At 43.6% G+C, this 23,114-nt stretch overlaps 1 protein-coding gene, 1 non-coding gene and 3 pseudogenes across 34 annotated transcripts in view, besides 4 other annotated features; 4 read left to right on the top strand and 1 right to left on the bottom strand.

The window, feature by feature from the left end:
* The window catches only part of NBPF1 (NBPF member 1), a gene marked incomplete in the record, with an annotated part of 51,142 nt that extends 44,631 nt beyond the window's left edge, over positions 1–6,511 (top strand). For 16 of the 33 annotated variants that reach the window (NM_001405693.2, NM_001405684.2, NM_001405683.2 and 13 more), the window contains 5 exon segments: positions 904–955; positions 1,583–1,754; positions 3,127–3,301; positions 4,016–4,127; positions 4,748–6,511. In NM_001405693.2, the coding sequence (NP_001392622.1) occupies positions 904–955; positions 1,583–1,754; positions 3,127–3,301; positions 4,016–4,127; positions 4,748–4,991 (755 nt within the window). 33 annotated transcript variants of the gene reach the window in all.
* Positions 1,147–2,024: an enhancer, noted in NCBI's record as "OCT4-H3K27ac hESC enhancer chr1:16893405-16894282 (GRCh37/hg19 assembly coordinates)". NCBI's record gives its function as "activates a minimal SCP1, AML or CMV promoter by ChIP-STARR-seq in primed H9 embryonic stem cells {active_cell/tissue: H9 hESC(primed)}" and the evidence as "EXISTENCE:reporter gene assay evidence [ECO:0000049][PMID:30033119]".
* Positions 2,025–2,902: an enhancer, noted in NCBI's record as "OCT4-NANOG-H3K27ac-H3K4me1 hESC enhancer chr1:16892527-16893404 (GRCh37/hg19 assembly coordinates)". NCBI's record gives its function as "activates a minimal SCP1, AML or CMV promoter by ChIP-STARR-seq in naive H9 embryonic stem cells {active_cell/tissue: H9 hESC(naive)}" and the evidence as "EXISTENCE:reporter gene assay evidence [ECO:0000049][PMID:30033119]".
* Positions 3,781–4,658: an enhancer, noted in NCBI's record as "OCT4-NANOG-H3K27ac-H3K4me1 hESC enhancer chr1:16890771-16891648 (GRCh37/hg19 assembly coordinates)". NCBI's record gives its function as "activates a minimal SCP1, AML or CMV promoter by ChIP-STARR-seq in naive H9 embryonic stem cells {active_cell/tissue: H9 hESC(naive)}" and the evidence as "EXISTENCE:reporter gene assay evidence [ECO:0000049][PMID:30033119]".
* Positions 13,532–14,032: an enhancer, noted in NCBI's record as "H3K4me1 hESC enhancer chr1:16881397-16881897 (GRCh37/hg19 assembly coordinates)". NCBI's record gives its function as "activates a minimal SCP1, AML or CMV promoter by ChIP-STARR-seq in naive H9 embryonic stem cells {active_cell/tissue: H9 hESC(naive)}" and the evidence as "EXISTENCE:reporter gene assay evidence [ECO:0000049][PMID:30033119]".
* LOC101056699 (tRNA-Lys (CTT) 7-1) lies at positions 15,401–15,472 on the bottom strand (annotated as a pseudogene).
* On the top strand, positions 17,704–20,283 carry PDE4DIPP8 (PDE4DIP pseudogene 8; annotated as a pseudogene).
* On the top strand, positions 21,197–21,269 carry TRV-CAC11-1 (tRNA-Val (anticodon CAC) 11-1; annotated as a pseudogene).
* On the top strand, positions 22,925–22,995 carry TRG-CCC1-1 (tRNA-Gly (anticodon CCC) 1-1). Its single transcript has one exon. It is a non-coding gene; the product is annotated as a tRNA-Gly (tRNA).
* Positions 22,996–23,114: the final 119 nt, after the last annotated feature.

The raw sequence follows: 23,114 nt of genomic DNA, 5'->3' as shown, positions 1-23,114 counted from the left end.
TCACTCTGGAGTCGAGTCTGAAGCACAGGCATGGGGTGGGTGAGTGAGCTTTGCTCTCTTCCTAGTCTCAGGCCATGCCCGTGCCAACCTGGACTGACTGTCACGACATTGAACTCAAGGCAGGTGTGGCAAGCTCACACCAAACTATGCAGCACATGACCAGGAGTTGTCTGTCAGATCAGCTCATCTGAATTAAATGTCTCTTGCCAGCTACAAAATTCCTTATGAGTTTTGTTCCCAAAGCATGTCTGTGTGGTTCTTTACCTGCCCAAGGCAAGTGTCACCCTTGTCTACCTCTCAGTGAAAGATGTGGCCCAGGTTTCACTGAATTTATTCCCATTTTCTGTGTCTTCTAAGTTCGCTTGCTTTAGCTCATCTGTCCGTCATGTTCCTGGTATGTTTTCTAGATAAATGGCTGACTTTTCACCCACAAAAGCCATAATAGCTGATGCTTCTGTGTAGAACCAAGTTTCATTTTGACTCAAGAGCTGGTACATTGCACCCCTTCATCAAATCTCTGTGTCCACAATCTCATAAACTATCAAATTCTGGGTATTTGATGAGAGAAAGCTTAATATTGAAGTATCTCTCCTATGAGGTGTTAGAACTATTTGCCTACAATTTATTGGGGAAAAAGTTGCTCATTTGTGTACACAAACCTAGGACAGAGCACATAGGGAAGATAACATTCCAAAACAGGGTAATTTTGCCCAAGGCTCATGAAAGAACCCAAGCCAGTTTTCTCAAGACTTGACCTCAGGCCTGCTGGAATATTTCTCTCAAAGTCTCCTGTTCTCACACTGACCAGACTGATGTACCTGTGTTAGGATTGGACAGAGGAATGTTTCTGTGTGCAAGGAAGAACTGCTTAATGTAAGAGGCCCCATCTGAATTTATTTGCAGGACATCGGTGGGATCAAGTGAAAAAGGAGGACCAAGAGGCAACAGGTCCCAGGTGAGTCTGAGAAATTGTGGACAGTTAATTTGATGTTGACACCTGGAGATGCCAAGTCCAGGGAAAACAGTACATGCTGAAAATAATGATTTTGTCTTGTCAGACAAGTCTAAATTATGCCTACTACATTGCTTTTTGGTTCTCATTAGAGTAAATGTTTAGGTTTCCATTTCTTCCTACCCTTATCATTTACTAACCTAGTGAAGGTTGACCATACCTCAAAAGCTGTATTCTCATGGTGGCTGCAGGGAAACTTGAGCACATTTTATGCAAAATTATTGAGGCCATGCTTTTCATGATCACTGTTCACTGTGTGTCCTGAGAGCACAAATAGAGAATGACCGTTGACTCCCTCATCAGTGTGTCACCTGGCCAATTCACTGAGCTCACTCTGTGTGTGTGTGTGTGTGTGTGTGTGTGTGTGTGTGTGTGTGTGTGTCTTTCTCTTTCATCCTTTTCTACCTGGCCCTAGTCTATCCCAATATAAAGGCAATAATTTGTTACCTCATTAATGGATCTGTCCTTTTTCTTTTCAAACTCTTCCTTATGTTAGCCATGAAATCTAGCTGGGGCTGTGTGGTTTCTGATTCCCCCTGGCTTATTCTTTACTTTTTCCCACTGTTCCAGGCTCAGCAGGGAGCTGCTGGATGAGAAAGGGCCTGAAGTCTTGCAGGACTCACTGGATAGATGTTATTCAACTCCTTCAGGTTATCTTGAACTGACTGACTCATGCCAGCCCTACAGAAGTGCCTTTTACATATTGGAGCAACAGCGTGTTGGCTGGGCTCTTGACATGGATGGTGAGTACCTTTCTATGAAGGTGATAAGGATCCACTGAGTCTTCTGGTTAGGGTCATATTCCTACTGCAAATGGCCCTTACTGAGCTGAGAGATGTCATTGCCACAGGGAGGACCTATAGGCACATGTAGGTTGAATGAAACTCTAGTTCCACTTGGAAGCCCAGGCAAGGGATGGGTCAGTGAGCAGGGCTCTCTTCCTAGTCTCAGGCCATGCCTGTGGCACCCTAATCCCACTCTCAAGATGTTGGATCTGGGCAGATGTGACAAATTCACACAACTCTGATTTTGTCTCAATTTTGTAGATCTTGTAGATTTCATCCTTCACTCTAATTTCAGCATCTAAAATCCTCGCTACCATGAAGAATCTGAGTATTTGATGAGACAGGGCTGAATATTGCAGTTTTTCTCCCAGCAACCATTTGGGGGCATTTGCTTTAAATCGATTGGAAAAATATGGCATAACCATTTGCACAAACTTGGGACAAATGATCTTGGGATAACGATCTACCAGAATAGGGAATTTTACCCACAGTTTCTGGGACAAAAACCCAGGAATCTCTATCATGATCAGCCTTCAGGCCTCCTGAAGAAGATCTCTCACAGTGTCCTATTCTCATGCTGAGGAGCCTGAAGTCCCTGCGTGAGGATTAGACAGTGGATTGTTATGTGTGTAGGAGAACCAGCTTAATATGTCTGTCCATGTCTGAACTTATTGCAGAAATTGAAAAGTACCAAGAAGTGGAAGAAGACCAAGACCCATCATGCCCCAGGTAACTTTGAGCAATTATGGATGCTTAATTCTGTGTTGACACCTGGAGATGCCAGGTCCAGGGAAAACAAGAGTATGTTCAATTTCATGTTTTCAACGAAGGTTGAATTACTCCTACTGACATTGCTGTTGGTTTTCCTTGCAGTAGATGTTTAGGTTTCCATTTCTTCCTCCCCTTATCATTTACTAACTTACTGTAGGTTGACCATACCTCAAAGGCTGTATGGCAACTGCATGGAATCTTAAGCAAGTTTATGGAAAATTATTGAGCCCACTCTTTTCATGATCACTGTTCTCTGTGTGTCCCGAGGGCACTAACTCAGAGTGTCCTTTGACCCCTTCGTCAGTGTGTCACCCGGCCAATTCGCTGAGCTCACTTTCTCCTCTGTCTCTCTCTCCCTCTCCCTCTCCCTGTCTTTCTCTTTCATTCTTTTCTACCTGGCCCTGGTCTATCCCAACATAAAGGCAATAATTCATTACCTCATTAATGGATCTGTCCTTTTTCTGTTTAAACAGTTCCTTATGTTAGCCATGAAATGTAGCTGGGGCTGTGTGGTTTCTGATTCCCCCTGGCTTATTCTTTACTTTTTCCTACTTTTCCAGGCTCAGCAGGGAGCTGCTGGAGGCAGTAGAGCCTGAAGTCTTGCAGGACTCACTGGATAGATGTTATTCAACTCCTTCCAGTTGTCTTGAACAGCCTGACTCCTGCCTGCCCTATGGAAGTTCCTTTTATGCATTGGAGGAAAAACATGTTGGCTTTTCTCTTGACGTGGGAGGTGAGTACCTTTCTATGAAGGTGATAAGGATCCACTGAGTCTTCCATATAAAGATCATATTCCTGCTCCAAGTGGCCATTACTGAGCTGAGAGATGTCATTGCTGCAGTGAGGACCTATAGGCACATGTAGGTTGAATGAAACTCTAGTTCTAACTGGAAGCCCAGACATGGGATGGGTCAGTGAGCATGGCTCTCTTCCTAGTCTCAGGCCATGCCTGTGGCACTCTGATTCTACTCTCATGACATTGGACCTGGGCAGATGTGACAAATTCAGAGAACTATGATTTTGACTCAAGGGTTTGTAGATTTCCTTTTTCACTCTAATTTCAGTGTCTAAAGTCCTCACAACCATGAACAATCTGAGTATTTGATGAGACAGGGCTAAATATTGCAGTTTTTCTCCTAGAAATCATTTGAGGGTATTTGCTTTAAATTGATTGGAAAAATATGGCATAACTGTTTGCACAAACTCGGGACAAATGATATTGGGATAACGATCTACTAGAATAGGGACATTTTACCCACAGTTTCTGGGAGAAAAACCGAGGAATTTCTATCATGACCAGCCTTCAGGCCTCCTGAAATATATCTCTCACAGTCTCCTATTCTTATGCTGAGGAGCCTGAGGTCCCTGTGTGAGGGTTAGACAGTGGATTGTTATGTGTGTAGGGGAATCAGCTTAATGTGTCTGTCCATGTCTGAATTTATTGCAGAAATTGAAAAGAAGGGGAAGGGGAAGAAAAGAAGGGGAAGAAGATCAACGAAGAAAAGAAGGAGAAGGGGAAGAAAAGAAGGGGAAGAAGATCAAAACCCACCATGCCCCAGGTAACTTTCAGCAATTGTGGATGCTTAATTCTGTGTTAACACCTGGAGGCAACAGATTGAGGGAAACCAGAGTGTGTTTGATTTCATGTTTTCAACGAAGGCTGAATTACTCCTACTGTCATTGCTGTTGGTTTTCATTGCAGTAGATGTTTAGGTTTCCATTTCTTCCTCCCCTTATCATTTACTAACGTACCATAGGATGACCATACTTCAAAAGCTGTACTCTCATGGCCACTGCATCGAATTTTGAGCATATTTTATGGAAAACTATTGAGCTCACTCTTTTCATGATCGCAGTGTGCTGTGTGTCATGAGGGCACTAACTCAGAGTGTCCTTTTACTCCCTTACCAGTATGTCACCTGGCCAATTCACTAGCTCACTTTCTCTCTGTCTCTGTCTCTGTCTCTGTCTCTCTGTCTTTCTCTTTCATTGTTTTCTACCTGGCCCTTTTCTATCCCAACATAAAGGCAATAATTTTTTTTTTTTACCTCATTAATGGATCTAATGGATCTATCCTTTTCTTTTCTTACCACTTCCTTACGTTACTTCTGAAATCTAGTGGGGCTCTGTGGTGTCTGATTTTCCCTGGCTGCTTCTTTAGTTTTGTCTGCTTTTCCAGGCTCAGCGGCATGCTGATGGAAGTGGAAGAGCCTGAAGTCTTGCAGGACTCACTGGATAGATGTTATTCGACTCCGTCAATGTACTTTGAACTACCTGACTCATTCCAGCACTACAGAAGTGTGTTTTACTCATTTGAGGAACAGCACATCAGCTTCGCCCTTGACGTGGACAATAGGTTTCTTACTTTGATGGGAACAAGTCTCCACCTGGTCTTCCAGATGGGAGTCATATTCCCACAGTAAGCAGCCCTTACTAAGCCGAGAGATGTCATTCCTGCAGGCAGGACCTATAGGCACGTGAAGATTTGAATGAAACTATAGTTCCATTTGGAAGCCCAGACATAGGATGGGTCAGTGGGCATGGCTCTATTCCTATTCTCAGACCATGCCAGTGGCACCCTGTGCTCAGTCTGAAGACAATGGACCCAAGTTAGGTGTGACACGTTCACATAACTGTGCAGCACATGCCGGGAGTGATCAGTCAGACATTTTAATTTGAACCACTTATCTCTGGGTAGCTACAAAGTTCCTCAGGGATTTCATTTTGCAGTCATGTCTCTGAGCTTCTATACCTGCTCAAGGTCAGTGTCATCTTTGTGTTTAGCTCATCCAAAGGTGTTACCCTGGTTTCAATGAACCTAACCTCATTCTTTGTATCTTCAGTGTTGAATTGTTTTAGCTGATCCATCTTTAACACAGGAGGGATCCTTGGCTGAGGATTGTATTTCAGAACCACCAACTGCTCTTGACAATTGTTAACCCGCTAGGCTCCTTTGGTTAGAGAAGCCACAGTCCTTCAGCCTCCAATTGGTGTCAGTACTTAGGAAGACCACAGCTAGATGGACAAACAGCATTGGGAGGCCTTAGCCCTGCTCCTCTCGATTCCATCCTGTAGAGAACAGGAGTCAGGAGCCGCTGGCAGGAGACAGCATGTCACCCAGGACTCTGCCGGTGCAGAATATGAACAACGCCATGTTCTTGCAGAAAACGCTTAGCCTGAGTTTCATAGGAGGTAATTACCAGACAACTGCAGAATGTAGAACACTGAGCAGGACAACTGACCTGTCTCCTTCACATAGTCCATATCACCACAAATCACACAACAAAAAGGAGAAGAGATATTTTGGGTTCAAAAAAAGTAAAAAGATAATATAGCTGCATTTCTTTAGTTATTTTGAACCCCAAATATTTCCTCATCTTTTTGTTGTTGTCATTGATGGTGGTGACATGGACTTGTTTATAGAGGACAGGTCAGCTCTCTGGCTCAATGATCTACATTCTGAAGTTGTCTGAAAATGTCTTCATGATTAAATTCAGCCTAAACGTTTTGCCGGGAACACTGCAGAGACAATGCTGTGAGTTTCCAACCTTAGCCCATCTGCGGGCAGAGAAGGTCTAGTTTGTCCATCAGCATTATCATGATATCAGGACTGGTTACTTGGTTAAGGAGGGGTCTAGGAGATCTGTCCCTTTTAGAGACACCTTACTTATAATGAAGTATTTGGGAGGGTGGTTTTCAAAATTAGAAATGTCCTGTATTCCAATGATCATCCTGTAAACATTTTATCATTTATTAATCATCCCTGCCTGTGTCTATTATTATATTCATATCTCTACGCTGGAAACTTTCTGCCTCAATGTTTACTGTGCCTTTGTTTTTGCTAGTGTGTGTTGTTGAAAAAAAAAACATTCTCTGCCTGAGTTTTAATTTTTGTCCAAAGTTATTTTAATCTATACAATTAAAAGCTTTTGCCTATCACTCTGGACTGTTGGATTGTTTTTTACATTCAGTGTTATAATCTTTTGTTATGCTGATTGGTTTTGGTGGGTACTGATGTGAATTAATAAAAACATTTCCATTTCCCTGTTTATTTTCTAATCTCTTCCACCTTGTAGGCTATGTTTACCATATGTAGCAGAATGCATTTACTCCATTTCTTGGTTCTAGATATTTATATTCTTTGTGAGAGTGTGTGTGTGTGTGTCTGTGTGTGCCTCTGGCATTTAGGAAGGGTTGTGTAGCTCATGTTTGATATTGATTAAAAATGTTTCATAGTTTTCCCCCCTTTGAACTAGACACACTTCTAATATTTGGTTTATACATTTTAAATTATGACTTTCAACGTCAAATATTTCCATATGACAGTCAGTTACATGATGTGTTTTCTTTTTCCTACCTCCTTTACCTGCCACTTCTCATAATGGTATTTGAACCTAAACATATGCCAGTGACATTCTGTGGTTGTCATCTTGCCCACACCTTGGTTTTTGGTTTAGATCCACAATTAAATATATTAATGCTCATGAGCTGTTCAAAAGTGAATGTCACAGTCATCACTTGCTGAGTGGTACTCATCCTTAACAGAGTCCTCATGAGGGAATCAGGTCTCGCTGAGTTTAGCATGTTTAATAATCTTCCTCGTGGTCTTGATACATGGATCGCATTACTGGATATAAGGTGTTTGCCCAAAATGATTTTTCTTGCATTTTTAGGAGCTATTGTCTTCCTTGCGGGACATACATGCTGTATGTTCTCATTGTGGGATTCTATTTTGTTCTACCAGGACCTATAATTTCTGCCAGTTACTTCATTTGTTCTCTTCACCATGAGTCTCCAGAGGATGCTTCCTTTGTCCATGCCTCCCCATCTCCCAGCAATTCTGCGTTTCCAAGACTGGCACCTCTGGTCCTCTGCATGGTGAAGCCCCTTCCTTTCAATTCCCCAGTAGCCAGTGCTCTAATCCACCAGGTCTCAGGCATGATCTGTGTTTCTCCACATGCTCTTTCTGAGGATAGTTTTACCTGTGTTCTGTCATGAACAGGCCCTCCCTGCTGTCCTGGCCTCGATTTGCTTAGTGTTTCCTGCTCCCTCTGCCCTTGTGTGGCTCCCAGACCAAGTGAAACAAAATCACCTGAGGGCCACAGTGTTCCCTAGCCCTGGCGTTTAGGGGCAGGGTTATGGGTGGGATTTTTGACTCTCTAAGTTAACGCCTAGGGCTTTGAAGTGTCTGTTGAGAAATTCAGCTGTTATCATCCTAGGTGGACTTGCTCTCTCCTGTCCTCCTACTTCAAATGCAGAACTTCAATCGTGTACAAAAGAAGACTGAGTCATATAATAGAACACACCCTTATTCATTGGCTGGCTTCACCAATCATCTCATGGCTGAACTTTTAAAAATACAATCTTAGCCACATACCTATGAAATGTATATGTGTGTGTATACATATGTGAATTTGTTTCTGAGATTATGGAGGCTGAAATTCCCAAGATGGAAGGAAAGCTGGATACCCAGGAAAGCATTTGTTTCCCATTAGGCCTCTTAATTCTCTCCTGACCTTTGATTGATTGCATGAGTCCCACCCCCGTTAAGGGGGGCAATCTGCTTCACTTAGTCTGCCCATCCCGATGTTAATCATATGTGAAACACTCTCTGGAACACAACCAGAATCACATTTGGCCGAATGTCCCGGCACCCTGGTGCTCAGTCACAGTGACACGTGCAAGTAACTATCACACTTGTCCTTTGTCACATTTGTCATTTCCCCTGTTTTTCTCCCAATCTGCAGCTTATATTTGTTCTCTTAATACTGTCTCGTGTTGAGCAAAAACTTTTACTTTTTATAAAGTTGAATTTATCAATGTTTTCTTTAATGGTTTGTGTTTCTTGATAACAAAGAACACTTTGCCTAACTGCGTCGTGAAGATTTTGTCTTATATTTCCTGCTATACTTTTTCTACTTTTATAGTTTATATTTAGTTGCATAATCCATTTTGAGTTAGTTTTTGAGTCAGTATTGAGGTTCAGGTGAATCTTTTTCCTTTGGGGATATGCATGTCCAGTTGTTTCTACACAATTTGTTGACAAGAGAATGCCTTCTCCACTGAATCATATTTGGACCTTTGTCAATCCATTGGGTGGTTGAGACTGGTCTGAGGGCTGTCCTGGTGTTTGGACAGAGAGACAGGGCATGAAGTAGGGTGGTTCTTATGGGAAAAATTAAGGAAGGCACATTATTCTATGAGGCATAGGAAGCCCCAAGCACAATTGGGGTACCTTCTACCAGCATGTTGTAGCACATTCATCTCTGCTGTCTCTACCTCTCCTGTTGCAAAAGCTTGGGTGTGCATAGACACTGAGGTTGAGTGGTGTCTTTGGGCACTTTTGAGCATTGACACCAAAGCTCCAGCATCAAATCTTAGAATATCAAGCAGCCGGGTGGATCACCTGAGGTCAGGAGTTCACGACCAGCCTGACTAGCATGGTGAAGCCCTGTCTCTACTAAACACAAAAAGTTTAGCTGGGCATGATGGTGCATGCCTGTAATCTGAGCTACTTGGGAGGCGGAGACAGGAGAATCGCTTGAGTACCTGGGAGGCAGAGGTTGCAGTGAGCTGAGATCACACAATTGCACTCCAGACTGGGCAACGAGAGTGAAACTCCATCCCCCCAAAAACAAATAAATAAAAATAAAAGAATATCAAGCAGTCAAAGAAGCAGGAAAACATGACACATACTGAAGAATCTAATAATCTGGTTGAAATTGACACACACGTTGGAAATAGAAGAAAAGGACGTTACCGCAATTAGTATAATTGTATTTTAATTAAATGGAGAGGTTGAAGATTTTTTAAATATCAAATTCTGTAGATAAAAACTATGATTTACAGTGTGAAATGGAAGAAGGCACTGGATTAAATATTGCAGAAGAGAAGATTATTAAACTAGAAGGAATAGAAGTTGAAACTAACATAAATGAAACACACATTAACAAATGACTTGAAAACATATAAAGACCATCAGCATCAAAACTTTAAACCCCCCAGTATAGGGCTAAATGGAATCCCTGAAGGGCAGGTAGTGGAGAAGAGAGAAAAAGATATTTAAAACATACTGGATGAAAGATTTAGAAGCTCCATAGAAATCATAAACTTCAAATATTACAGAAATATGATTATCCCAAGAACAAGAAACATGCAGAAAACTTCACCAAGGAACACCTTAATCAAATCCATCAAAACCAGTGATAAAAAGGAAATCCTAAAAGTAATAAAAGGGAAAAGAACATGTTACATACAGAGCACTAAATATAAGGATGGCATAAGATTTCTCATAGGAAATTTTACAAACAAGAAGTTTGCAATAAAGTACTTAAAAAAAGAAAAACTGTCACCTACAAGTCTACACCTGGCCAAATTATCTTTCAAAAATAAACATGAGAAAAAATATTTTTGAACAGAAAACAAAATGATCTCAATTTGCAGATGGTGTGATCCTATGCATAGAAAATCCCAAACAATACATACAAAGGCAAACACACATACATGCACACAGACACCAGACACACACACACACACACACACACACACACACACACTATCAGAGTTAATAAGTGAATTCAGCAAACTTTCAGCAAACAATCCATTGTGATGGCAATGAGCTATCTGAGAAGTAAACTGACACAATGATTTCATTTATAATAGCACCTGTAAGGATAATATGCCTGGGAATAAATTTGTTCAAGAAGGTGCAGTACTTGTACACAGACAACTACAGAACATTGCTCGAGGAGACTAAGGAAGACCTAAATCAATGGAAAGACATCTTGTGTCCATGGGTTGGAAGTTGTAACATGGTTAAGATAAAAATACAACTCAAAGCAATCCACAGACTCAATACAATCCTATCAAAAAGTGGCTTTTTTTACAGGAATGCCTGAGAAGAACTTCATGTTCCTAAAAAACAGCAAGTGTCCCCCCAAAACAAAAGCAATCTTGAAATGCAAGAAGGAACGTTCTCTATTCCAAAGGTCTTTAACTGCTCTCAGTAATACATGGTAATCTTCAATATATAGGCTTTCACACCTTTTTTTTTTTCTTCTTTTGTTTCTAGACACGATCTCACTCTTTCACTCAGGCTGGAGTACAGTGGCAAGATCACACAGCTCACTGCAGCATGGAATTCTCAGGCCGATGACATCCTAGGGCCTCATCCACTGAGTACCTGGGACTACAGGCTCACACCACCACAGCCGGATAATTTTTCTGATTTTCAGTAGAGATGAGGTCTCACTATGTTGCCTAAGCTAGTTTCAAGCTTCTGAGCTCAAGCGACCCTCCTGCCACGGCCTTCCTAAGCGCTAGGATTTGAAGCTGCGCCTGGCTGGCTTTCACATCTTTGCTATGTAGTTTATATTTCTTGGTGTTATTGTAAATGTTTATGAAAGGAATCTTTTAAAAATTTTGTATTAAAATTATATATTTAAGGAATTACATATATTATATATATTTAAGGAATACAACCTGAGGACTACATATACATATACATATACACATACACATACACATACATACACATACACATACACATACACATACACATACACATACACATATACATATACATATACATATACATATACATATACATATACATACACATATACGTATACTATACATAATGAACTAATGCCTACTAGGTGAGGGGCTGCCTTGTGAGCAAACCCAAAGTCCTTGGCTCACAAAGCCTTGTCTAGAAAGATGGAGGGATCAGCAAAGTGGGCACACAGCAGGTTCTGTCTTTAGTGCGGGCACCTGCCCACTCGGGTCTCTGGCAATACTAACCAGGCTTCATGATGGGTGAGGTGAGCTAGGAATGGGAAAGTGGATGACCTCAGATCCAGAGACTGCAGTTGTCACCTGGGGACCTGGCATGTGCGTGGAGGAGTCTCCCACTGATTTGGCCCTGGATCAATGCCCAAACATGCACAAGGACAGGTCTGTTGGCCTCAATGTTTTAGGAGCCACCAGTCTTCTAAAGAGGGTTTGTGGTGGGGAAGAATGTTCAACAAAACAGAAGAGTTATGGGTACTCTAGCTTGGCAACAGAGAATACTTCCTTGTGCTACTAAATGACAATATTTGACAATTATGGATGACACAATTGAGCAACAGCTTTCACTGTTTAACAAGCAGGGTCTCTGGAACACTAGGTTAGTGCTGTCGGAAGTTGACTGAAAAGTCGGTGGTTTGAGCCCATCCAGTCGCATTAATGTTTCTAGCTGATGTGATCTTCCCTCTGAAGAGTCTCTTCCTTGGACCAAATATATCTTCAAGCTTCTCCTCTTCTTGTCTCTTGTCTATTTTCCAAGGTGCCTCTTTGTTGCTTGAGGCAAAAAAAGTTCATTATTAATCCACACCCAGCAAACATCTACCCTTACTTATCCCGGTTTTTAGAGTTTTGAGTTTGTTTGTTTTCTCAGCTTCTCATATTTGGAATACTGGGAATTCCTAAAGTGGAGAACAACAGAACCTGAATCACACCTATGGTGAAGCCACAGGCCCTGGGTGAAAAACCTAATCTGCTCGCGTTTAAAGATAAACCCATTAATTTTCTGTGCTTCCATTTCTATCTGTCTAATGGGCTAAATCAGAACACTTAATTTGTCCAATGTTTAAACGAGCAGTGCAGGAAAAGCGTGGAGCCAATGCCTGTCACGTAGCAATTGGTCAACACGCATGAGCTCCTATCAGCGTCACGGCCTCCAGCATTTCCATCAGGCTTTGATCTTTGAAACGTCCTTCCTGATATGAATGGGTCATTCTTCAAACATTCTCTAACCGATGGCCATGACATTGTTCCAATGTGTATTATTACAAATACAACTGCAGAGACCAGACTGACACATGTATCTGTCGTGCATCACTTGTCTATTTCTCCGTAGATACCTGGAGATGGAATTGTCAGACCAAAGTATTTATACATTTCTGATTTTGCTAATTTCTATCCAAATTACTATGAAAAGAAGCTGTAACAAGTCATACTTTTAATATTTTATGAGAATTCTTTTTTTCTCCATCTTCTGGCCAAAACTGGGAAGTACTTGCCTACCATTTCCTCTGAACTTACTTTTGCCAACATTTCTGTAGTCACACAGTGGGATCACATTGCATGCATGACATCAAACTCAAATCCTAATTGAAAAGAGGGGTTCACAGGACTCTATAAAAATTTATATTCAAAATACAAAAATGCAAACATATATGTGTATACAAATACATATATATACACATACATATATGGGAAAGGAATTTTTTTATTTGGATACCTTATCAAAGTTATATAGACTGGAAAATTTGTTTAGTAAAACAGCAGTCCCCTTGTGTACTCCCAGAGTTTCATCACATAGAAGCAAGTATTTAGTTATTTATCTCCTTATGTCTAAATAGATATTATTCCTTTTTGATTTTCAAGCGTAGGCACTATCTCTCCTTCACATACTTGCTCATCACCACCACCCCCAAACATGCCTCTCACTACCTTACCCTCTAACATGTTTGTGTCCTAGTTTGAGGGCCAACTACTACATTATTATAACTTGTATATGTTATTCAGAGTTCAGTCACACTGGATATACATAGCAGGAAATGAAAGGCCAGTATCTTCAGGGACTCTCTCTCAAGTGGATAAGCTTCAGAGATTTTTGTAATCTTTGGTCACCCTCTCCATCTTTTTCCTATTCCGGGTAAGTACTGGATCTGATGGGCCCAGCTCAGGTCAGGCACTCTCTCCTTGAGCAGGGGAGAGCAGGACATCTTCATGTGTAGTACCAAGAAGACACTGTCCAAAGAGGGACAGGTAGTTCTGAGACAGAAAAGTCAATCTGGGGTATGGGTAGGCAAAACGAGGACACAAAAAAAAACCCATGTCTGTTCTGTGAGGGGAGCATGCAGTAGAGGGTGGATTCAGAGTGGGAGGGGAGAGTTTTGAGAGATATGGGCCATGGATAGCCCTCTGTGGGCTGGAGCCACGCAAGGCTGTTGGGGTCTCTCAGGGGCAGGGAGCTGAGGAGAATCTGCCCTCCCCAACCTGGGAGACTGGTGAGGGGACTGTCCTGGTCACCAGACAGAAATGGGGTCTGGGCCAGGGCAGTTCTGGTGGGAAAGAAAGAACAGGACATCTTCTCCTTAGGTAAGGCTCTGAGTTCAGGTCTTGGTAGGGAGGGAGGTTACCTTGGGCATTGGCCACTGAAGATGGTTGGCCAGATGAGCACACTGAAATCTATGTTCTATAAACTTGCAGTTCTAGTAAAAGAATGACTGCAGTAAAGGGTCTTTAGGAAGAGGAGGTGGAAGACCTGATTTGGGTTGGGGGCTCCAAGAAGAATGTCTGCCTTGCTGTGCAGAAGTCTTCTGCATAACCTCCCTGGTCCCCTTGCTCAGTCTCCCGGCCAGACCCCCAGAGTACCTGCCCTGTGCACCCTGGAAGTACACAGTGAGTTCAGCCAAGGCATCTCCAGCCGGGACTCATCCCTGGGCATTTCTGTGGCCTTGGGTGCCCTGGCCTTCTCCAGGCCCTGTCTTGCAGGCAATCGTCCTGCAGGGGAATGGGAGAAGGAGGCTACTTGACAGTTGACTCTGAGTGGCTCCACAAGTTCCTGACTTAGCTCCTAGTCACTTGCAAACCTATATACCCCCATCTCATCCCCCAAATGGTGAAAAAGAAACTTTGCCAGGACTCATGCCAGACAAATAGAACAGAACCGTTCCATAGAGCCAAGGTCTTAGGACATCAATAAGAGATGGAAACCACCTGCTAGAAGGTGCCACAGTGGGAAGCTTGTTGGAAGGGAGCAGTCACTGAACTGTCAGGGTGAATCCTGGCTCCTGGCCCTCACACGCCCTTTCTCCCCTTCCTTCCTTCTCTCCTCCCTCCTGTCTGCTCTTTCCCCTCTCTCCCCTGCATCCCTCAGGTACCTTCCATGGGCCCTCACCCCTCCTTTTCAGAGGCTCCAAAGTGAGCCCTCAAAATACTTGGTAACCTTGGGCATTTCCAAAACTGGAGAGATTTGGCCACACCATTTTTAGGAGCTAGGAACGTCCTCCAGAGCTCTTGCCTAAATTTTTCTGCTGATGAGAAGAGAACAAAAGAGTTTCCATCTGATCTGGTCCTAAGGCAACTGCTCCTTGGAGCAGAGTCTGGGCAGGAAGAAGGGGGTTGCCCAGGGCCCCAGACTTGCCCCTCCCAGCTGCTGTGCTCCTCTCCCCTTCACTGCGGGAGGCTGGCCAGGGATCGGGAACCTCTGTTCTCCACAGTTGCTGCGATCCCAGGCCCAAATCTAAATATTGGCTGATTTAGGAGGCTAAGGGAGGCAATTCCCTGGAGAGAGGTGTCAGGATCTGGGACAAGAGCAGCATCTGGTTGCCATCCACAGAGACCCCAAGGACAGGAATCCAGTGGTAGCCTGTTGGAGGGGATCCCATGACAATAAAATGAAACGTGTGCATTAGAACTGGAGCCAAGACCAGGAGCTGAAAAACTGCGCCGTCCTAAGGGATGAAGGAATTAGGGAATCCCGGAAGTAAAGTTTTTCATATAGGTCATTTCTTCCAAAGAGACACAGGGCAATGGCCCAATGACATGTATAAAAGAAAACTCAGGGTCTAGGATTGAGGGGACGCAGCCTTTTCAGTGGAGGAGACCTGTCACCTGGAGGCCCAGGGTCACCCTGAGAGGGGAGGGGTCTTGCTGGGTCGCTGGGTCTAGGACTCCAATTGCACACAGCCAGTGGCCTGGACGGTGGGTGACCATGACTGGGGCAATTTCCCCCATTCCGCTTAGGGAGCAATAGGAATATCATTGGCATTATACAGAAAGGTCCCACTGAGACTTGAACGCTGATCACCGTACTCAGAGTCCAAAGCGCTCGCCATTACATCATGGAACCTCACAATAGCTCGTAACTGGAGGGCACTGAGTTCACAGAGCAGCCGTAGTTCCCACGCACCTCTGTTCATGCATTTCCTCTGATCCCTCAAGCAACACCGAGGAAGGTGGACCTGAGATGGAGGAGTCGTCCTCTTTCTTTCTCTGCCCTCTCCTTTGATCAACTTTTACCATTTCCTTTGCATCTTAGAAAATGAGGCAAAATCCAGTTTGGGCTTAGGGCCAGAGAAGAGCCCTTGAGGCCTCCCTCATGGAAAACATACTCTCTCAGTTTACCAGAGTTTCCTGTACCAAGGGGAAATTTCTGCAAACAGTAATGTTATATTCTTTTTGCCTTCCCTCTTTTCCCTTTGCCCAGGGAGGCCAGATGATTGTCAGAACAGGACTTGGGACTTCCTGGGTGCCTAGCCCCCTTCCTCCATGTAATAAATAATAGCTGAAACCAAGCAAGTGGGATTGGGAGGCAGGGAAGCTTTCATTTTCTTTTTGATATACTTTTATGCATTTGCTTGGTTGGTTTTGGCAAGATTTTCTCACCAGAAATGGAGATTTGTTGGATTGAAAATAAAAAGTAATCAGCCATGTTTTACATTCAACATTTATTGAACCCCTGCTGATAAAGCACTTGCCAGCTTCAGTGGGGCTGCTAGAGATGAGAGTACACAATCCCTGACTTACAGATACCTTGTCCCAACTAAGGCCTAGGTTATCTGAAGGGGAGATTATCAATGGCAAATGCAGGCTCCTCCTGTGGAAAGAAATTCTGCTTCCTGGAGCTGGTGGTCTCTTCTCCCACCAGTTCAAAGAAGCTTCTCTTGCACTGTGGATCTGCCCTCCCTGCCCCACAAGGTTAGGGTATGTGCCATTGAGGCTCAGGGCATATGTGGGAAATTCAGACATTCTGTAACACCTGCTGTCTCTTCCCACGCAGGTGAACCCTTGCTGAAGCAGGACAGCAAGCAGGTCCAGGTGGACCTCCAGGACCTGGGCTATGAGACTTGTGGTCAAAGCAAGAATGAGGCTGAACAGGAGGAATCCACCAGTCCCGGTAAGAGCACAGGGTGTGGGGCTCACCTTCCCTCCCTGGAGTCAGCTGTCACATTTGGGTGCTGTTGGCCAATTCCACACCTGACAAGTAGTGGGGAAGAGGAGGACAGGAGGTTAATAGGAGAACTCTTACCCAAAATGAGGCTGAGTATAAGTTTGAATTTCTACAATGAGTTTGTGGCATACTGCTAATAATAATAATAATCATATGAAGTTCTATCCAACTGATTATTATAGAAATACTAAGGCCTACTTAGAGACCACATGAGGTTTTGGAAACATGCAAACCATAAGTTAAAAATAATTTTGGTTTGCATTATAAAAGGACTACAACTATAGGGCCACCCACCACATTCAAAACGAGAAGAGAAGAAAAACACAGTCTCTCTCATTCTTGAGGAAGTGTAGTGTGGCAGTTAAGAGAAAAGATCCTGGGGCCAGACTTGTTGCTTCAAATCCCAATTTGTAAACTTTCCTATGCCTCAGTTTCTTCAAATGTTAAAATAGTAATAAAGGAACTACCTACCCCATCAGGTACTAATGTCAATTAAATGAGTAAATTCTTATAAAATGCTTTAGAACAGTGTCTGGCATCGGGTAAAATGCTGTGGATTAGTTCTCATTCTGACTACCACTGCCCCAATACACTGATGTTAACATGCTGATATATTTATTCAAAGTCTTATTTTCCTTTGCCTATTTTTCACACAGTTGTAACCCAATAAACTTTTAAATTATAGTAAACTTTAGAGAGCATTAAACTTGCAGCATGCAGAAATAGCTTGTCCTGCGTTCTTGTGGCTATCCTAACTAGATAAGGCCATGTTAATGGCTTGAGAAACATCAGTGTGTGTGGAATGAACACAGGACGTTGGAGGATTTGAATTCAGGCTCTGCCATGTGCTAGTTTGAGTGATCTAGAACAAGCTGGTTTACCACCTCTCTTTAAGTTTTGGTTTCCCCAGTCAGTAAAATAGAAAGTGGTGAAACCTAACTTGTGGGTATAAGGAGGATAAGAAATACTGTATTTGAATGCCTAGTACAGTGTCAGGGTTGAATAAAGTACGACTTCACCTTATTCCCTAGTAATTATTGTCCTCATGACCAAACCTGCCTCCTCTCAAAGGCAGTGGCCACAACAGCACATCCAACTTTTATTTAGGAAGACATCTTTGTCTTTTTTCAGAGCATGAGGAGCACAGCAGCCGCAAGGAAATGGTCCTGGTGGAGGGGCTGTGCTCTGAGCAGGGGCGCCGGGGCTGAACGCTGGCTAGTTCCTCTGAGAGGAAGCCCTTGGAGAATGAACTAGGGAGGCAGGAAGAGTTCTGGGTATATGGAAAGTCAGAAAACATCTGGGTCCTATGAAAGGACATCAAAGATCTGAAGGCCCAGCTGCAGAATGCCAACAAGGTCATTCAAAACTTCAAGAGCCGGGTCCAGTCCCTCTCAGTTACAAGTGATTATTCATCTAGTCTGGAAAGACCCTGGAAGCTGAGAGCTCTTGACACCCTGGAGGGGTCTTCACCTCATAGTGTCACTGATGAGGATGAGGTGTGGCTGTCTGATGGCACTGGGGCTTTCTACTCTCCAGGACTTCAGGCCAAAAAGGACCTGAAGAGTCTCATCCAGAGAGTATCCCAGCTGGAGGCCCAGCTCCCAAAAAATTGACTAGAAGGGAAGCTGGCTGAGGAGCTGAGATCAGCCTCGTGGCCTGGGTAAGGATGGCACTGTCTGGGCACTTTCTGGATTGAAAATGTGTAAGTTTGTGCTTGGTGTAGGGTAGCTCAGGCAGTTGGAAGAAACAACATGTCTGGGTATTCACAAGGACACTGATTTAAATGGTAGATATAGGTCTGTGGAAAAGACAGGTAGGCAAGCAGGAGGGCATAGGATGATGTCCCAGTATCTGGGAGATACCAGATCTCAGGGATTTCCTCTTAGGGATATATCAGTAAAGTAATAGTACATATGGTATGGTATAGTATAGTATAGTATAGTATAGTATAGTATAGTATAGTATAGTATAGTGGTAATACTGGAATCAGACTGCCTAGCTCTGATGCTTACTACCCATGCAACCTTCTTAACCTTTCTGAGCCTTTGTCATTACCTATTAAGTGAGGATGATAACAGAACCCATCTCAAAGGGTGGATATTAGGTTTACATGAATTAATACAAGTGCTGGCCAGGTGTGGTGGCTCATGCCTGTAATCCCAACACTTTGGGAGGCTGAGGTGGGCAGAACACCTGAGGTCAGGAGTTCAAGACCAGGCTACCCAACATGGTGAAACCCTGTCTCTACTAAAAATATAAAAATTAGGTGGGCATGGTGGTGCACCCCTGTAATCCCAGCTACTCAGGAGGCTGAGGCAGGAGAATCGCTTGAACCTGGGAAGTGGAGGATGCAGTGAGCCGAGATGGTACCACTGCACCCCAGCCTGGGTGACAGAGCAAGACTCTGTCTCAAAAAAAAAAAAAAAAAAAATTAGTACAAGTGCTTAGAATGGTGCCCAGCATACATTAAGCTCTCAATGCTATTTGCCATAGTTATCAGTGTTATTGACACTTTGTGTTGAAAACACAGACATTCATCTTGGTATGTGTCCTGGTTATCTACTGCTAAGTAAGAACCACTCTAAAACTTAGTGACTTCAAACAGTACTTTATTATGCTTCACGGTTCTGTGGTTTGACTGGGCTCAGCTGGGTGGCTCTCACTTAGGGTCTCTTGTTTTGGGTCTCATCAGTTGATGGCATGAGAGTTTATGTGATGGCCATGATTGCAAAATACAGTCAGCCACAGTATCACAACACAGAAGAAATTCAGACATCAGGTGGTGGTTAAAACAGAAGACATGAAAGGTCCTATCTAGACTTAGGATGAGATGAGTCTAATTATTCATTGAGTATCTGCTGTGAATCTCTGTGATGCTGGTGCTGTAAGGGATGTGAAACGCAGAACTATCTTCATTCTCACAGACCTTACGATTTATCTAGGGACATATAATTAACATATATAGAACAGTTGAAGAACAGTGGCATGGTAAATTTTTTGTTTTGTTTTGTTTTGATACAGAGTCTCACTCTGTCACCCAGGCTGGAGTGCAGTGGTGCCATCTCGGCTCACTGCAACCTCTCCCTCCCAGGTTCAAGCAATTCTCCTGCCTCAGCCTCCCAAGTAGCTGGGATTACAGGCATGTGCCACCATGCCCAGCTAGTTTTTTTGTGTGTTTTTAGTAGAGGAGGGGTTTCACCATATTGGCCAGGCTGGTCTCAAACTCCTGACCTTGTGATCTGCCTGCCTCAGCCTCCCAAAGTGCTGGGATTACAGGCGTGAGTCACCATGCTCGGCCCATACTAAATTTTTCAGTGCAATACTTTATCAGGGTAGAATTTACTCTTAAATACCTCCTATGGCTTACGTGCCAGAATTCAGTTTGGGGGAGTTCCTTAGAGATGTTCTCATAGAAATCTCTACAGAAGCCCCCATAACTTATCATCCACCCTTTCCTCTTCTGTCCTGCATTAGGAAATATGATTCCCTGATTCAGGATCAGGCCCGGGAACTGTCTTACCTACGGCAAAAAATACGAGAAGGGAGAGGTGTTTGTTATCTTCTCACCCAGCATGCAAAAGATACAGTAAAATCTTTTGAGGATCTCCTAAGGAGCAATGACATTGACTACTACCTGGGACAGAGCTTCCGGGAGCAACTGGCCCGGGGAAGCCAGCTGACAGAGAGGCTCACCAGCACACTCAGCACCAGTAGGTTGGCCACAGGGCTTTGGATACTCTCAGTCACCCCACAGTTCCAGCCCCTGGTGGCCACCACATCTCCACTGCAACTTTTTAACGTAGGGTCCTGTTTCTATTTCATTTCCTGGGGCTAATATAGGATCAAGACTGCTCAATGGGGAGCATGGAGAGGAACACACAGGGCTGGAGATGCCATGGTTACAACTCTAGAAACTTCACCACTCATGGAATGTGACCTGTGGGGCAGGGGAGACATCTCTCTGGTGCTAAGAGGGAGTAGGGGACATGACATGGAAGGGCCTTGTTATAGGAGGAAGAGCCGTGAGCTAAGAATTGCAAGACGTCGAGGCGCTGAGGCCAAAGGGTCCGTGAGGAAACAGGCGCAGCTCGCGCCCCTCGGCCTACGGGAGGGAGGGCAAGGAGAGTCCTACGGTTCCTGGGAGGACGAGAAGAGCCAAGAGCCCCGACGGCCGGCGCCGGGGAAAAGGCCCCGAGGCGGGGTCCGCATCCCTGGAAGGGCGGCGTCCACACTCCTGAGAGGCACGGGGCGCCCAGGGCTCGGACGCTCAAAGCCCGCCGGCTCCTGCAGCTTCTGGGAGCCGAAGAGTGTCAGCCGGGAGGATCCCGCACACGGCGCTTAGTTCTGGAACTGCATACCCAGGGGAGGATGCGGGAGCCCGAAGCCCGGGTATGTGTCCCCGAAGCCCGGGTGTGGGTCCCCATGGTTTTCGTGTTGGGGGTGGGCGCGGAACGCTAAGCCTGGGCCTATTGGGAGCCATAGTCTTCTTGATGGCTGGTGCTTATTGGGCTTTTTTCAGTCGAATTTCGAAATGCAGTTGAATTTCTTACTTTGGAAACGATAATAGAAATGGCTGACCTAAGATTTTCATGATGATATTTTGCCTTTTTTGGTGCATATGCAGTTTCTGTGGTGTAGTGGTTATTATGTTCGCTTCACATATGAAAGGTCTCTGGTTCGAGACTGCGTGGGAACATCGTGTTTTGTTTTGTTTTGTTTTTTTGTCCCTAAATTTAGTGAGTTTAATCGAGGTTGGGAAACAAACAGAAAAGTAGTTGAACCTGTGGCTACACTTTAGACCTCCTCAATCTAGAGAGATCGTTGACCAGGCTACAGTTTCCACTGGTCTGCCAGCAAGAGGCCTGCTTAATATTAGCTTTGGTTCCAGAAATTCCTTCAGGTTCTCTTCATTCTCTTCTATCGCCTGTATTTTCACAGGCTGACACTGAAAGTGGATGACATCTTAGTGCATTTCCTAAGGGTCCCGCTTGGCTTCGCTTTACTCTGGTAAGTTGCAGATCTGGCTGATTTGCAAGACAACAAAAACAAAATATTTTTTAAAAAGGTTCTAAATCTGCATCTGGAAGTCATAGAGTCAATATTCCTAAATCACATGAATTATGTATATACATTTGCATGCATACCCCTTCCCCAAATAATCCTCAGAAAACCGGTTAAGTTTTAGCATCTGTGACTCTGAGATGCATATGAGGCCTTTGTAAATTTAGAAGTTGAGAGTAGAAAGTACAGGTTTGTATTTTAGAAGGAGATTTGGGAATAAATATAGCTCTGGTGGATATAGATCATATGTTAAGGTTTGTTGGCCAGAGCTGGTGTGTGTCTTGGGTGTTGGGCAAAGAACAGAGAACAGCCAAAACTCTGCGAGGTCAATGTGAAGGGTGATTTCCTTGGTGGGCTCAAGTTTATGACGCAGCCTGGACCTAGCTTGGCTTCTCAGCTAGAGAAGAAGCATGATTCCATGTCACAGCTCCTGTCTTTGAAAAAGTCATAATGACTCCCAGACCCAACATATGGAGAAAACTCTGGATTTGTCTCTTCAGTTGAATGTTTCCAGAGAAAATTGAGGAAAGAAATCTCTCTACTATTTGAACTTCATCAAAAGACTAATATGCTAATATTTGACCGTCAATATTTCCTTAAACTAGTCTACTGCTTACATAGCTAATACATCAAAGCATATTAACTTAGGAAATGGGATTCTCCCAAACAAGGAAACATTGACAGCGAGCGTTCTTCATCTTTTCATATCACATTTCCTTCAAATGCTTTATACATCTTCAAGCAGACAAATAATAGTATTATAATGATTACGAGACTGATCATTACTCTTTTGCCAAAAAAACCAGCGACAAAAGACTAACTTAGTGGACCAACCTTTGTTTCTTCATTATCTCTACCTTGGTTCTGTCCTTTTATTTCCTCTTTCTTCTAATTCTGCTTCTGCTACTGATTTCCTCCCTGGATTTGAACTTTACTTACCTAAACTACCAGTTAGGTTACCTTCTTAGAACCTCTAAGGCAGCAGTTTGAGGTTGACGATGGAAGATTTAGGATTAGAAAAAAGAAACGTGAATGAATTTCTGATGTTTTATTATAGGGGTTTGTAATGCAGGTAGAAAGAAAGACCTTTTTCAGAGTTAAGAGTTTGATCCGACAAATGAGCTATTTTGATATTTATAACGTTGTCTAGTAAAAGTTTCCTGTAAAAACACATTTGGTTTGGATGTCTTTGTTAGCTTTTAGTCGACACTTGAAAAAACCGCTTGGAACGGTTTCTAAGTCTTTGTGGATACTGTTTTCTGTTATCCTGCAGGCGGTTGTTACGCAGAGGCATTGGTGGTTCAGTGGTAGAATTCTCGCCTCCCACGCGGGAGACCCGGGTTCAATTCCCGGCCAATGCAAGAGGGTCTTTTTCACCCCGCTGTTGCTCTTTATCTGTCTTTTACGCTGAAAATCATACTGCATAACCTAATAGTGCATTTAGGGGCTTGGCCACCACAAGGTAAAGTGACGACAACAC

The sequence above is a fragment of the Homo sapiens genome, chromosome 1 (genome assembly GCF_000001405.40).
Source record: "Homo sapiens chromosome 1, GRCh38.p14 Primary Assembly".
Classification (NCBI taxonomy): Eukaryota; Metazoa; Chordata; class Mammalia; order Primates; family Hominidae; genus Homo; species Homo sapiens.
Note: the sequence above shows the minus strand (reverse complement) of the source record. Positions and strands in the feature narration are given on the sequence as shown.